Genomic DNA, 15,035 nt, shown 5'->3' on the forward strand with positions numbered 1-15,035 from the left:
AACTGGTTTAGATGATTCACCATAAAATTAAGAAACTATCATTAAGAAAAAAATTAACAAGTCTAAATGGTATAACTGTCAAGTCCTTAACATGGAACATGTTAACATGGAAATAACTATAAGGAAGTGGCTGGCAAATCCTAAAATATTTATTGTCTACTCCTTTAGAGAAAAAGTTTGCCCTGCTATGTGATTCCAACAAGGCTGGAAGCTATCCAAGAATCACTCTTTCATTTATATAAGCACTGTGACTAAGTGCTTTACAAATGCATGTAATGCTCACATAATGCTAACTGTGAGGCTGATACTATCAGTACATCCCTTTTGTACAAAAGGAGTCTCAGGCTTGAAGAGGTTATGTAACTTGCCTAAGGTCACACAGTTAAGTGGCAGAAATGAGATACAAACCAAAGTCTGTCTAACTCCAGAGTTCACACCACCATGTTATAGTGCCATCTTCGTACTTCTATCCTCATCTCCAACAGACACTAGCATTTTCATTTTTAAGTAAATTGTAATATACATTAGGAACTTGTAAATTAAGTACACTGCAATATATATTAGGAACTTATGACTCCTACTAAACATAAGTATTAAAATTGTACTTATTCGCACTAAGGAAGCATAGTTTTGTCTAGGGAGTTTACTGGTCAGTAAGTCAGGAGAGCTGGGTTCTAGTTTTATAGTCTCTTTGACCCTTGGTTTCATAATATAAGGAATAAAGGGTAATAGTATACTTATAATTTACAGATATACTCATGGGAATGAATATGCTTAGATGGAATTAAAGGTGAGGCAATACTATAAAACATTCCGGAAAGTTTTTTAAACAGTTTTGTTAAAATGTAAAGTTTGTTTTATAAGTAAAAACCTTCTTATTTTTTGCAAGTACAATTATTTTGCAGTCACATCTAGGAGAAAAAAATAACTTTTTTCGACGTCTATATGTTGTTGGTAAGATGGGAAGGAGGAAGAAATCCAGTAGAATTTTAGACTACTACTATAAAAACAAAGTAGAAATACTAAGTTCTTATAAACCATCAGTAAAACTCTGAAGTTATTAAGAGACTCATAATAAACTAACATGTTCTACAGCAGTTCTTTCCGTTTATTTTAGCAGTAGGATCTCTTTTCAAACAGACCGCACCCAAAAGCCTAAGAGATACTACATAATAAACCTATCATTCAAAAAGCTCCCCTAGGGCCGGGCGCGGTGGCTCATGCCTGTAATCCCAGCACTTTGGGAGGCTGAGGTGGGTGGATCACAAGGTCAGGAGTTCAAGAGCAGCCTGGCCAACATGGAGAAACCCCATCTCTACTAAAAATAGAAAAATTAGCTGGGCATGGTGGCACGTGCCTGTAATCCCAGCTACTTGGGAGGCTGAGGCAGGAGAATCACTTGAACCCAGAAGGCAGAGGTTGCAGTGAGCCAAGACCACGCCACTGCACTCCAGCCTGGTGACAGAGCAAGACTGCATCTCAAAAAAAAAACAAAAAACTCCCTTAAATCAAAAGCCATTTTAAGAATTAATTATAAAATACTTTATTATAGACTTTCTAAGATGCTTGGTGATCCACTAAGATTTACCATCACTTAATCCTTATAAAGTCAGTAAACCACTAGCTGTCTTAGGAAGGTTTAAGAAACTAATCACCTGCCCTACACCAAGTACCCTTGGCTGAAGGATAGTATGTAAAATTGCTGGCTGGGTGCAGTGGCTCAAGCCTGTAATCCCAACATTCTGGGAGGCTAAGACAGGAGGATCACATGAGGCCAGGAGTTTGAGACCAACCTGGCCAACATGGTGAAACCCCATCTCTACTAAAAATACAAAAATTAGCTGGGCGTGGTGGTGCACACCTGTACTCCCAACTACTAAGGAGGCTGAGGGAAGAGAATTGCGTGAACTCGGGAGGAGGAGGTTGCAGTGATCCAAGCTTGTGACACTACACTCCATCCTCAGTGATGGAGTGAGACCCTGTCTCCAAAAAAAAAAAAAAAAATCACTTTCAGTTATACCACAGCATCCTGGAAAATCAAGATGATTTCCTGATGTGATACAATACTAAAGCATAAGTAAATGGTTTGAGAAAAGTCAATTTTGTAGTACGGAAATAGTGTAAATAAAAAAGGAATGCTAGGAATTCCCTCTCTAGAAATATGGTGGGCTAGGATCTTTGAAACACTCTCACTAAAAACACTTCAAAATACAGGATAAAATATTAAAATCCAGACCACTAAAGTGGTTACTAAATCCAGAACATTAAGTAGTTACTAAAGCTAATGGTTAGTCAAAATCTATTAAATATCTGTGCAGTAACCCAGACCCTTGGAATGTAAAGGTATCACACAAGAGATAGGAGCCAATCCTTTGGTTTCATAAAACTTAGAGGTGAAGGAGAGTATACCCTGAGAGAACAAGCCCAGAACCCATGAAGAGACATATCTTTAGTAAACAGACCAAAACTAACCAACCAACCAACAACAAATCTGCCCTGTAAAGGAAGAGGTCAAGAACACTGGCTTTGTGTCAAGGGGAAACAACATCTCTCCTAAGAATCTGTTCATCAGAGGCTGGTCCTCAAAGTAGGTTTGGGTATAAATTCATATAGCTGGAGGTCTAAGAAACCTCCAGCCAATACACCAACTTAAAGGCATATTGAGTTTGTAAACTCCTAGGCACCTAGCAGACCCAAACATGAACCTTTTCTGGGGTAACAAACCCCTACCCCAAGTTTCTTAGAATTCCTAGAGTCCTAGTAAGTACAAGTTCACAATAAAAATCACAAAACACAAGAAAACCAGGCACCATAAACAACAGCCAACAGAACAATTCACAGATGTTTTGATAGGTTTAATGTGTTTTAAGAAATAAAGAACAAAAAATACAAATACAAAATGACAGACTTGGCTGGGTGTGGTGGCTCACACCTGCAATCCCAGCACTTTGGGAGGCTGAGGTGCTTCAAGACCAGCCTGGGTAACATAGTAGCACCCCATCTCTATTTTTAAAAGTAAAAAAATAAATGACAGACTATTTAAAAAGCTAAAACTTCTAGGAATTGAAAAATTAATTATTAAAACAGAAAATTTAATGGATGGGTAAAACAGATTAGGCAATAGCGGAAGAGATGATTCGTGATCTGGAAAAAAATCTGAAGGAATTACACATAATAAATCACAGAAAGACAAAAAGATGGAAGATAAGGACAGGTTAAGTGACCTATATGCAAAGCAAATGGGAGTTAAGAGAATATAGAGAATGGGGGAGAGGCAATATTCAAAGAGATAATAAACATTTCTTGACCTAACAAAAAGCAAAAAATCTACTAATTCTCAGATTCAGAAGGCACAGTGAATCTCAAGCAGGACAAATAAATGGTAAAGCTCTAGGACACAAAAACCAAAAGGAAGACTATCTTAAAAACAGCCAGAGGATAAAGACAGATTATCTGTAAAGGAATGACAGACTGATATCTGACCTCCTATCCAGCAGTCAGGGAAATAGATGACAATGAAACAATATCTCTGTGCTTAAAGAAACTGTCTAGAACTGTATACCCAGCCGAAGAGTCTTAGAGAAACTAAAGGAGTTTCTAAAGGATATTGTTTTAGGAAGAAAGAAAATGATTCCAAAAGAGAGGTCTCAGATGTAAAAAGAACTGGGGAGAGCAAAGAAACAGTTAAACGTGTTAGTAAATGAAACAAATACTGACCATATAAAAGCATAATAACGCCTAATTGTAAGATGTTAAAAGATAATGAAAATACTAGACAAAATCACATAAGCTGAGTATGTTGATGAGTGGAGAGAGGGAGCAGGGCTAGTTGTGATCATTAAAGTATTTTAGGCTGGGCTCAGTGGCTCACGCCCGTAATCCCAGCACTTTGGGAGGCCAAGGCGGGTGGATCACCTGAGGTCGGGAGTTCAAGACCAGCCTGGCCAACACTGAGAAACCCCATCTCTACTAAAAATACAAAATTAGCCAGGGGTGGTGGCGCATGCCTGTAATCCCAGCTACTTGGGAGGCTGAGGCAGAAAGAATCACTTGAACCTGGGAGGCAGAGGTTGCAGTGAGCTGAGATCATGCCACTACACTCCAGCCTGCGCAACAAGAGCGAAATCCTGCTTCAAAAAAAAAAAAAGTTTTCTAAGGTTCTTGTTTTATTCGAGGTAGATTAAAATTCTGATTAACTTCAGATTTTAAGTTATGATACACATTAAATTTACTTAAATGTATATATTTTTGGCTATATTAGGTATTTTATAAAGGCTTTTTTTTAATAAAAAAGAAGTAATGATGTTTATAATGCTTCACTGGCAATTTACCTTACTACATGATAAGAGTACATACTGAGGTGGTAGTCCACAGTACAGTTTCATGCATTAAAGACCACAATAATCCAGTAAGAGGTATTTGTTACAAGGTTTTAATAAAAGGCTCATGATATTACAAACTCACACACAAACCAAGCAATGCCTGTATATATAACAAATCAAAATAGAGCTAGTTAGCTGGAGACAGGAGAGAGGGTTAAAGGGTTCAGGACCCTCTTGTCTTGCCTGCTCAGAAAAAAAGTTATGAGGAAAATTTTAAGGAAAGAAAAAGGTTAATTTAACTTAAAATCTAGAAAACTTGGCAGAAATCACATATGTACGTATTAGGCTACTAAAATATTTCTTACTAACTACAAATACTAATCAAGCATTTCTTACCTACTGTGGAGCTACCATTTTCATATTGAGAGAGCAGATCTTCATCAGCTTGCTCATGCTTTTCACTAGGAGCAAAGTCTTTCTTAGAGAAGCTGCTGTTCTTCTTTTTTAAAAGAGCTGCTTTACTTTCAGGCTTATGTGAAACTGGAATTTCCACTGGCTGGTAATTAGCATGGATATATGGTTCTTCAGAAAGCATATAACCTTTACTGAAACACTCTAGCAACCACTTTGCTCCCACTACATGAGGCCTACAAAAATAGCACATAGTTATGTATTAGTGCAAGCTATAAAGACCATCATCCCACTTGTCATGCAGTTTCCAGAACTGCGTGGATATGCAATTTTAAGAAAAATTATGTAGTAGAAATTGCTTTGAATTAAAAACGAAAAAAACCTGTGGGCTGATTTATTCCAAAACTGCTTCAATTCATCATCATAATCTCCCACAATAACATGAGTTACATCTTCATTTAGCTGGTTAAAACGAACTCCACCTCCACTGTTAATAAGTCTTCTCAGTTTATCTAGCTTTCTGCCACTAAAACCGCAAAGATATATCTGCAAGAAAGAAAATATTTAATATACATAACATGCTTTCTCTCAATAGAAAAAAACTAAAAATATATATCTAAATCCACTGTGTATAAATAAGACAACTTGTGTACATTTAAGATATATGAATAAATACATTCTGAAACTTTTGATTTTTTAACAGTTCTGCAACTTTGAGTTTTTAATCACTCTTTACAATCTCATACAGCATTATCTTTCACAGTAGATACTTGATAAGTATTTTGTGGCTATAAAGAAAATAGAAGCCAGAGTCCAACATCTTCTAAATATTAGTGCATACCAATTCCTAAAATGCAGGTAACTTCTTTAACTGTGAAGCTTACTTGTAAATTTTAAAGTAATTATAAAAGTAAACTGTAGTTAACTGTCTGAATTCTGAACACCTGGGCTTAAATTGTGTGTGTGTGGGGGGCGGGGGGAGGGGTTGTTTTTTCCAGCTGCCTATGATTAACGACAATAGGCAAGTTGCTTACGCTCTTTAAATCAATTTTCTTACCTATAAATTGATGTTACCTTACTCACAGAGTTGACTGAACAAAAAATATATATAAGTCAAAGAACTGAACACAATGCTTTGAGGATAACATGTATGCAGTAATTTATTTTTAGCTATCAGTATATATATATTTAAACCAATTTAATCAATATAAAATCATTTTACCTCTATTTTACATAAGGTGCCCTTAAAAAAATTTAAGTATGACAAATCTACTCCAAACTGCATTTATACCCCAAATTAAATCACCCCCATTACTAGAATATATTTTAACAAATATTTGGAATCATATACTTTCTATATGTAAGAAATAATTAAAAGCTATATCTAGAATTAGTAGTCTAGGATAAAACATCATACAAAACACCTCTGAGCCAGGTGTGGTGGCTCATGCCTGTAATCCCAACACTCTGGGAGGCCAAGGTGGGCAGACTGCTTGAGGTCAGAAGTTCAAGACCAGCCTGGCCAATATGGTGAAACCCTCACCTCTACTAAAAATAGAAAAATTAGCATGCACCTGTAATCCCAACTACTTAGGAGGCTGAGGCAGGAGAATCGCTTGAACCTAAGAGGAAGATGTTGCAGTGAGCTGAGATCACGCCACTGCACTCCAGCCTGGGCGACAGAGCAAGTCTCCGTCTCAAAACAAAAACAAAAAACCCACCTTTTGTAAGTTGGCAAGTTTAAAAAAAAAAAAGGTAATTTGCCGAATTTCCCTTTTTTTTTTTTTTTTTTTTTTTTTAAATTTTGAGATGGAGTTTCACTCTTGTTGACCAGGCCGGAGTGCAATGGCGCAATCTCGGCTCACTGTAACCTCCGCCTCCTGGGTTCAAGTGATTCTCCTACCTCAGCCTCCCAAGCAGCTGGGATTACAGGGGCCTGCCACAACGCCCAGCTAATTTTTTTTGTATTTTTAGTAGAGACAGGGTTTCACCATGTTGGCCAGGCTGGTCTCCAACTCCTGACCTCAGGTATCTGCCCACCTTGGCCTCCCAAAAGTGCTGGGATTACAGGCATGAGCCACCAAGCCCAGCTCCAATTTCCCTTCTTAACAATAAGGTAGGGTTAAATTTTTGCTACTCTGTGAAAATTAGTGCACAGCCAAGTCATTCTACAAATAGGAATACATTAAGTATTCCAATCTAAGACAGCGGAAAAAGTATAGCATATGCTGTTTCCATCAACAAACTTATAAGACAGTTATTCATATACTAAAAAACTAAATAACCCAAGAAATACCAAACAAAGCAGTGGCTCTAATGGTGAGGAATACAGACTTTGGAGTAGATAACTGGCCACTTAATGTCTCTCTGTGTGACTCTGAACAAGAATTTTAATTCTCTAAGTCTTACCCTCAAGATAATATCCATTTTAGAGTTATTTGTGGGACTTAAATGCGATTTTATATATATATTAACACACATAAAATGATTAGCACAGTGTCTAATACACTGTAAACACTTGGATGATAGTTTAAAGTCCAAACCTGGGCAACATAGTGAGACCTTGTCTCTACAAAAAAATTTTAAAAATTAGCCAGGTGTAGTGGCACATGCCTGTAGTTCTAACTGCTCGGGAGACTGAGGGGTGGCTGATGCCCAGGAGTTCAAGGTTACAGGAAGTTATGATTGTGCCACTGCATCCCAGCCTGGGCAACAGAGTGAGACCCTAACTCAAAAAAATTAAAAAAAAAAAATCCAATAAGTTGTTCAGAAACTAAGTGCTCTCGAAATATAGCAGATGAAAAGATTAATGTAGTTAGGAGGGTTCAGAGAAGAGTTAAAACCTGAAATGAACTTTTAAAAGATAACAGAGGAAGATACCTTGCAGGCAGAGGGACTCTCGCAGCCAAAGGATGGACATGGTCTAGTAAGTGCATCTACTTAGCTAGAGTGGAGGGTTTACATAGATAGTAAGGAGCAAGCCCAACTCTGAAGGGTCTTCAAAGTCAGGCTAGGAAATGCTAATGTATATCATCTACTGCATGTATTATATAATAAAGACGTACCCGACAACCATCTAATAAATCTTCAGGTGCTTGAAATGCACTGACATCCAGATTTTCTAGATTTTCAAGTGTAGGCTCCAGTTTGCTGTTAAGTGAATTACATATTGATTCACTTACGCAACTTGCATTTATGTTGGAAATATTGCTGACATCTGAAAGAGTACGACCTACATATTTTGAAAACGTATAAATTTATGGGAGATAAAATAATCATGATTACATATTGTCTATGGATTAACTTTTCTTACAAATATAGGGCAATAAACAACTTCCAAAGTAAGATTCAGGGGTGTTTACTGAAATCTTAGTGGCAAAGTATAAAAAGGGAAAATGAAATTAATTAAGCCTCCTATCTTATTTAAATGAAAATAGATTTAACACATTTTCTTAATAGTGTCTTGTTTCCCATAAAAATCTGAAGTTGCTGACTTTAAGGTCCAAGAAGCTTACATTTGAAAAAATATTTTAAACATTTTGCCAACACGACACCTACAAAATAGAAATGGTTTTAATTTTTATACAAATACAGATGATCTATAACTGCAGCAAAACTGTAAATTAAGGAAAGATTAATATATGCATGTAATGTTTAAAAGATTAATACTTTTATCTTAAGCCCCCAGCTACCATTGTTCTTAATTTCTTTGATCATCTTTTGCATTACAACAGAGTATAAAAGACAGCATTCATTCATTCTAAAAGAAAATTACGAACAGTTCAGTGCTAACTTTTTATACAATTTGACTATTATACAATTATGCCTAGAAGCACAGCAAACAAGAAAAAGAAATTCCCTATCTCAGTGATCCTATTAACATACTGATTATTACATAGAAATATGACTGTCTTCAGAATAATTATTTTAATCTCAATGAGACTCACTATCAATTGTGTTGATCTGGCTGGTAGGAGTTGAAGAATTGGGCATAGTCTTTGCTTCTGGTCTAGGTTCTGTCTTGTATATGGATTCATCCTGACAAAAACCTTTCTCAATACTGTCAAAAAACCACTGTGTGGTCACACAGTGTACATTCCATCTCTTGGCACACTCATACTTCTGACCTGTGGCGTTCATTAAGAAAGAAATAGAGAAAATAGGAGAAACCAAGAAATGAAAACCATTACAATCTATCTTTGCAGAAATATTCAAATTATAACAGGTTAATATTTTTTTTTTTTTTTTGAGATGGAGTCTCACTCTGTTGCCCAGGCTGGAGTACAGTGGTGAGATCTTGGCTCACTGCAACCTCCACCTCCCTCCTGATCAAGCGATTCTCCTGCCTCAGCCTCCTGAATAGCTAGGATTACAGACGTGTGCCACCATGTCTGGCTAATTTTTTTGTATTTTTAGTAGACACGGGGTTTCACCATGTTGGCTAGGCTGGTCTCAAACTCCTGACCTCAGGTGATTCGCCTGCCTTGGCCTCCCAAAATGCTGGGATTACAAGCGTGAGCAACCGCGCCCGGCTATAACAGGTTATTTCAAAAACCTATCAACAAAATTAAAGTTACCAGTACTTACTCTTAAACAGTATGCTACACAGTTTATTACAAAGTAGTATTTTAGCTTATTGCCTAATTATATTTTCTATGTGTAGTATAAATACATATGCCATGTGAGAGGTTTTATCTTTTATACAAACTGCAGGAAGACAGAAGCAACTGTGGGGTAACTTAATTAATATTGGACTTGGGTTTGCATATAGGCTCCATCACTTAATTTCTTTAAACCAGCTTGTACAATGTGAAAATTGTAAATTTGTGCTATATAATAAATCCCAACTTTGAACAGACTATTCCAATGTCAACAGGCTTCTACTTAAAGTCCAGGATAGATAAGCCAAAAGATAAATTATATTGAAAATATGTATCTTTTATTACCTTAAAAATCTTCAACACAATGTATTTTGAAGCAGTATCACAGAGGAATTGAGGTCAATATGTCACATGAAAGGTTTTTTGGCATTCTTGAGAGAATCAACAATGAACTGTCTTCAGATTCAGAAAAAGAACAGCAGTATCAACTCTACTCACAGTGATCCTATCACAATCAGCCATACTCAAAGTTCTGACTTAAGGACAATTACCATTTAATCGTAATTTCTTCTCAATCTAGATAGCTTAGTAAAACACAGTATACATATAAAGGGCAATAATAAAAACATTAACAAAACTCATCTTTTATCAATTTGTGTATATTTTAAGAGTGCTGATAAAAAATTATCCAGAATAATGTTATGTAACACCAAACTTAATAGCAATTTTAAAGAATTTTTCTTGTTCGTAATGTCTTTTTCATTTTTTACTGCCTCATGTGCCGCAAGGTGTGTCTTCCAGTTAAAACTTTGCAAGATGTTAGAGAAAACATCTTTGCAAGATGTTAGAGAAAACAGTATCAAACTAGATTAATGACATGTCAGAAGTAAAAGCTGTTCTGTAAAGATTTTAAAATATTAAATATTAGTGGCTGGGCACGGTGGCTCATGCCTGTAATCCCAGGACTTTGGGAGGTTGAGGTGGGAAGATCAATTGAGGTCAGTTAGAGACCAGTCTGGCCAACATGGTGAAAGCCCGTCTCTACTAAAAATAAAAAGTTATTCAGGCGTGGTGGCAGGTGCCTGTAATCCCGCTACTCGGGAAGCTGAGTTGGGAGAATCGCTTGATCAAGGGAGGCAGAGGTTGCAGTGAGCTGAGATTGTGCCACTGCCCTCCAGCCTGGGCAATAGAGCAAGACTCTGTCTCAAAATAAATAAATAAATAAATAAAAATAAAATATTAAATACTAGAGAAAATGTTTCATTTGTCCCTTTGTGAAACACAGTTTTACCTTTTGGTTCTTGCACAATGAGGTGTGTACATTCATTCATTTTCAATTGTCCCATGTATTGACCTCCATGCTTAACTGTGAGTTGCTGAACTTCTTTCCTGTCTAAGCCACATAAGCCAGTCACACAGATTATGCAACCAAGAAAAATAGGACACTTGAAATCTTCCATGTTTATATCAGTATATCTAGTTATTTTTCTGTGGGAATCAAATGGTTAAAAAAGAACATATTAAATTTACCAGAAGAATAATGAAAAACAACACAAATATCACTATTGCTTCCCTCATTTTTTAGGATTTATAATCTTTTTTTTACAAAGGAGAACCACCAAAACAGAATTACACTAATTGTTCACCTAGTTCAATAACATGTCTCTAAAACAAAGTAATTGTTTCAGATACAGTCTCTCAAAACCATTTTAAGGGAAAAATATATATTTCCTTAACTCTAGCCCTTGCTGGTCATAGTATATTTTCCAAAATGATAAGTCTGAATCTCTACTTAAAAACCCAAAGGTAATTTGGTTGCCTATTAGATAAATGAACTTTTTAATCTTTCCATTATTCTATACAAGTAAAAGCAATGATTTTTGGCAAAATACCAACAAAAATATCATTATTCTGTTGCCATGCTAGGGAGGTGTGCTGATGAAGTAATCACATTGGGAATGAGAGTTGCTGACATGGAGACATATTTGGGATATGCTGGATGGTGTTGAAAACAAGCCCAGAAAAGTGCCGATATAATTCGTATGCCAATACAATTCTGTGGTGTTTGGTCTTGTGGTTGTTTATCTAGTTGCAGGGGAAACTGAAGTGTGCCCCTTGAAATAGGCTCTAAGCTCCATGAGGGAAGTGACTATCTTGTTTTGCTTACTACATATACCTAATGCCTACCTCAAGTCAGATACGTAAAATGGGCTCAATTAGCATTTATTAAATGATCACATCTCAGCTGATGACTTGCATATGTTTATATTCAACCTTACATATGCCATCTTTTGGAAGGAATGCAACTGCCAAAATGACTAATTTATTATCTATCTTAACATATGGGAATGGTGTTGAAGGATAATGCAACATAAAAGCTACAGAATTGCCAAACTCGTTTTCTCAATTATTTCAGAAATATTTACAGCTGAGAACTTTATCACCAAAGCATTTCCTACTCTGTAGCTAATGCTAAACCCTTGGCCCATTCTATGCCTGTCAACTTATATCTTGGTAATAAGAGCTTGTAGATTCTGCTCTTCCGTTTTCGCTGGAGAAAAGAGTAATGACACTATTTTTTTCCCTGAATAGTAAGTCCAAAGAGTATATCACATGCCAAAAATGATTGAATGCATCATTTTTTCAAATCTAGAAAATATAAAAATGTCTTTCTTACTTCTCTTGTGACTTCTCCCAAAGTGTTTTTATCCAAGAGGGAAGCAAAATAGGTTTCTTCAGGTTTGCAGCAACTAAATATTTTTTGCTACCAACTTCTCCTGCAATAAGGTGAGTTACTGATACATTAAGGTCTCTGTATACTCGTCCGCCCATCATTTGTACATATTTATGAACTTCTTCCTGCAGCCCCAAAAGAGAACACATTAATGCTGAAGCAAACAATATTGCTTCCACTTTTATACACTATCTCATAAATACATTTTGCTGTTGACAGTTTGAATACATAAGTGTTACATAACATTATAAAGTTAAATAATTAACCAAATTATTTTTTGGGAGATAAGTATGAATTATATTTTTAAAATATTATTTTCCTATATTTATCCCTTTCAACTCCATGAATGTATTAAACTATTATACAAAGGATGTATAAATCTTAATCTTTGCTTCTATATAAATATACATGTGTATTTTTAACAACATAAATTATATCTATATAATATATAAATATTTATTTTTAGCCAGGCTTGGTGGTGCATGCCTGTAATTCCAGCTACTCGGGAGGCTGAGGCATGAAGATTACTTGAGCCCAGGAAATCAAGGTTGCAGTGAGTTGTGATTGTGCCACTGCACTCCAGCGTGGGTGACAGTAAGACCCTGTCCCAAATATATATATGTATTTCTATAGCTCTCTCTTAGAATGCTTTTTTTTTTTTTTTTCCAAAACGAAATCTTGCTCTGTCACCCAGGCTGCAGTGCAGTGGCGTGATGTTGGCTCACTGCAACCTCCACCTCCCTGATTCAAACGATTTAGAATCCTTTTTTTTAAAGACTGTCCACCTATAGTGGAAAAATGTAAGTGATTAAAAAATGAGTGTCCTTTTAAATTAAAACAAAAAATTTCAATTAGCCAGTTTTCAACAAAACAAATTCTACTATATTCAATTTACTTAAAAAATGTACATGTATACATATATACACACTGTGGTTGTATACTGAACTTTGTTAAAAGTCACGAACAATAAGCGGAAAGTCTTTTAAGCTATCTTCTATGCAGTGAAAAATTAAGAATAAGAGATAGATATATAAATTGATCAATCATCATGAGATCAATATCTACCCTTTTTTCTTTTTCCAGACTTGTACAAGATATGGTTACATCAGACATAACCATATTATAAACTGGATGTTCGGCTCTTGGGACACATCGCTGGTGGTGCATACAAAATATGACTACTTGAGGACCAACAATTCTGCAGCCAAGCTACAAAAAAGAGAAAAGTTTAAATGAGTTAAGAAGGAAAAGACCACCAGTCTTACAAAATTACATTTTGTAACATTCACCAATTCTTTACCAAAGTTGATGACCACTGTAGAGAAATCAGCAAATCATTACAAGAAAAAAATAAAGATGACTATATAATTTCTCAGAGATACTATACATTAAACACTCACACACAAAAGCAAATCAAACAATGCAAGCTATCAAAAGAAATAAACTTCAGGCCAGGCACAGTGGCTCACGCCTGTAATGCCAGCACTTCAGAGGAGGCCGAGCGGGGGTGGATCACCTGAGGTCAGGAGTTCGAGACCAGCCTGGCCAACATGGTGAAACCCCGTCTCTACTAAAAATACAAAAATTAGTCGGGTGCAGTGGCGGGCACCTGCAGTCCCAGTCTCTAGGGAGGCTGAGGCAAGAGAATTGCTTGAACCCAGGAGGCGGAGGTTGCAGTGAGCTGAGATCACGTCACTGCACTCCAGCCTGGGCGACAGAGTGAGACCCTATAACAAAAGAAAAAAAAAAAGAAAAGAAAAGAAATAAACTTCAAAAGCCCCTTTCACTGAAAACTGCCTTACTGCTTACATCTATAAGCCCAATATTTTGGGAGGCTGAGGTGGGAGGATCACTTGAGTGCAGGAGTTCAAGACCAGCCCAGCCTGGCCAACATCGAGAAACCCTTTCTCTACTAAAAATAAAAAAATCAGCCGGGTGTGTATATACATCTGTAATCCCAGCTACTCAGGAGGCTAAGGCACAAGAATCACTTGAACCAAGGAAGCAGAAGTTGCAGTGGGCTGAGCTTGTGCCACTGCACTAAAGCCTGGGCAACAGAACAAGACTCTGTCTCCAAAAAACAAAAACAAAAACAAACAAACAAACAAAAAAAGCCTACTGTAACATAATTAGCCTTTCAATCCTGGTCTTGCCAAACCAAAAGAATTCCAATGTACTCATAAGTTGCATAGTACTTTATAATCCGCAAAGAATGTATGTCCATTAAAGCAAAGATAAACCAAAAAATAGACTACCAAAGGTACACACTAGAAGTCAGCAAACCTTTTTGAGGTGATCAAAGACAACGCCACTAAAAGGGTCACAGATATAAAGTGATCTATCATTCTCCTTTATCTTCAATGCCTCTTCTTCTGTAATAATCTGAAGATATTCTTCTGATTGGAATTCTTTTATGGACTGAAAGAAAAAATAAAATAAGAATGTACCTGAAATTACTCTCCTGTATTTAGGTCCTATTCAAATTCCATCTCAAATCCAGCCTTTTCCCTATTGAAAGCCACCATCACATCTCACTTAGACCTCTGCAGAAGGCTCCCAAGTGGTCTCTTTTTCCCTTCCTTGCCCTAAATCTGTTCTCTACACAGCAGCTAATAATCTTTTCAAAAACACAAGTCAGATCATGTCACTATCTGCTCAAAACCTAATGTCTTCACACCACACCCAGAATAAAATCCACATTTCTTACTACAGCCTTCAAGACAACACAGTCTGGTTTCCTGCCTATCTTTCCACCTTTACCTCCTACTTCTCATCTCTCTTGCTTATTCTATTCCAGCCACTCCCGCTTTCTTGCCAACCCTGGAACAAGCCAACCATAACCTCATTTAGAGGCTCTGCTCTTGATCTTGCAGCACAGAATACTTTTTTTCCAGGTTTTCACCTGACTTAATCCCCCACTTCAATCAGGTCTGCTTAAATGTCACCTCCCCAGAGATGCCCATCCTA

At 36.6% G+C, this 15,035-nt stretch overlaps 1 protein-coding gene across 8 annotated transcripts in view; it reads right to left on the minus strand.

Annotated features, from left to right (window-relative positions):
- TOPBP1 (DNA topoisomerase II binding protein 1) overlaps positions 1-15,035 on the minus strand; it is a 61,704-nt gene that overhangs the window by 44,427 nt on the left and 2,242 nt on the right. For 4 of the 8 annotated variants that reach the window (XM_047447355.1, NM_001363889.2, XM_047447358.1 and 1 more), the window contains exons 3-10: positions 14,352-14,486; positions 13,134-13,277; positions 12,012-12,193; positions 10,626-10,822; positions 8,681-8,860; positions 7,799-7,950; positions 5,116-5,279; positions 4,719-4,969 (exon numbers count right to left, since the gene is read on the minus strand). In XM_047447355.1, the coding sequence (XP_047303311.1) occupies positions 4,719-4,969; positions 5,116-5,279; positions 7,799-7,950; positions 8,681-8,860; positions 10,626-10,822; positions 12,012-12,193; positions 13,134-13,277; positions 14,352-14,486 (1,405 nt within the window). Of the gene's footprint in view, positions 1-4,718; positions 4,970-5,115; positions 5,280-7,798; positions 7,966-8,680; positions 8,861-10,625; positions 10,823-12,011; positions 12,194-13,133; positions 13,278-14,351; positions 14,487-15,035 lie in introns of all 8 variants that reach the window. The other 4 variants (XM_017005636.3, NM_007027.4, XM_011512357.4 and 1 more) reach the window with 1 other exon arrangement.

Source organism: Homo sapiens, chromosome 3 (genome assembly GCF_000001405.40).
Source record: "Homo sapiens chromosome 3, GRCh38.p14 Primary Assembly".
Classification (NCBI taxonomy): domain Eukaryota; kingdom Metazoa; phylum Chordata; class Mammalia; order Primates; family Hominidae; genus Homo; species Homo sapiens.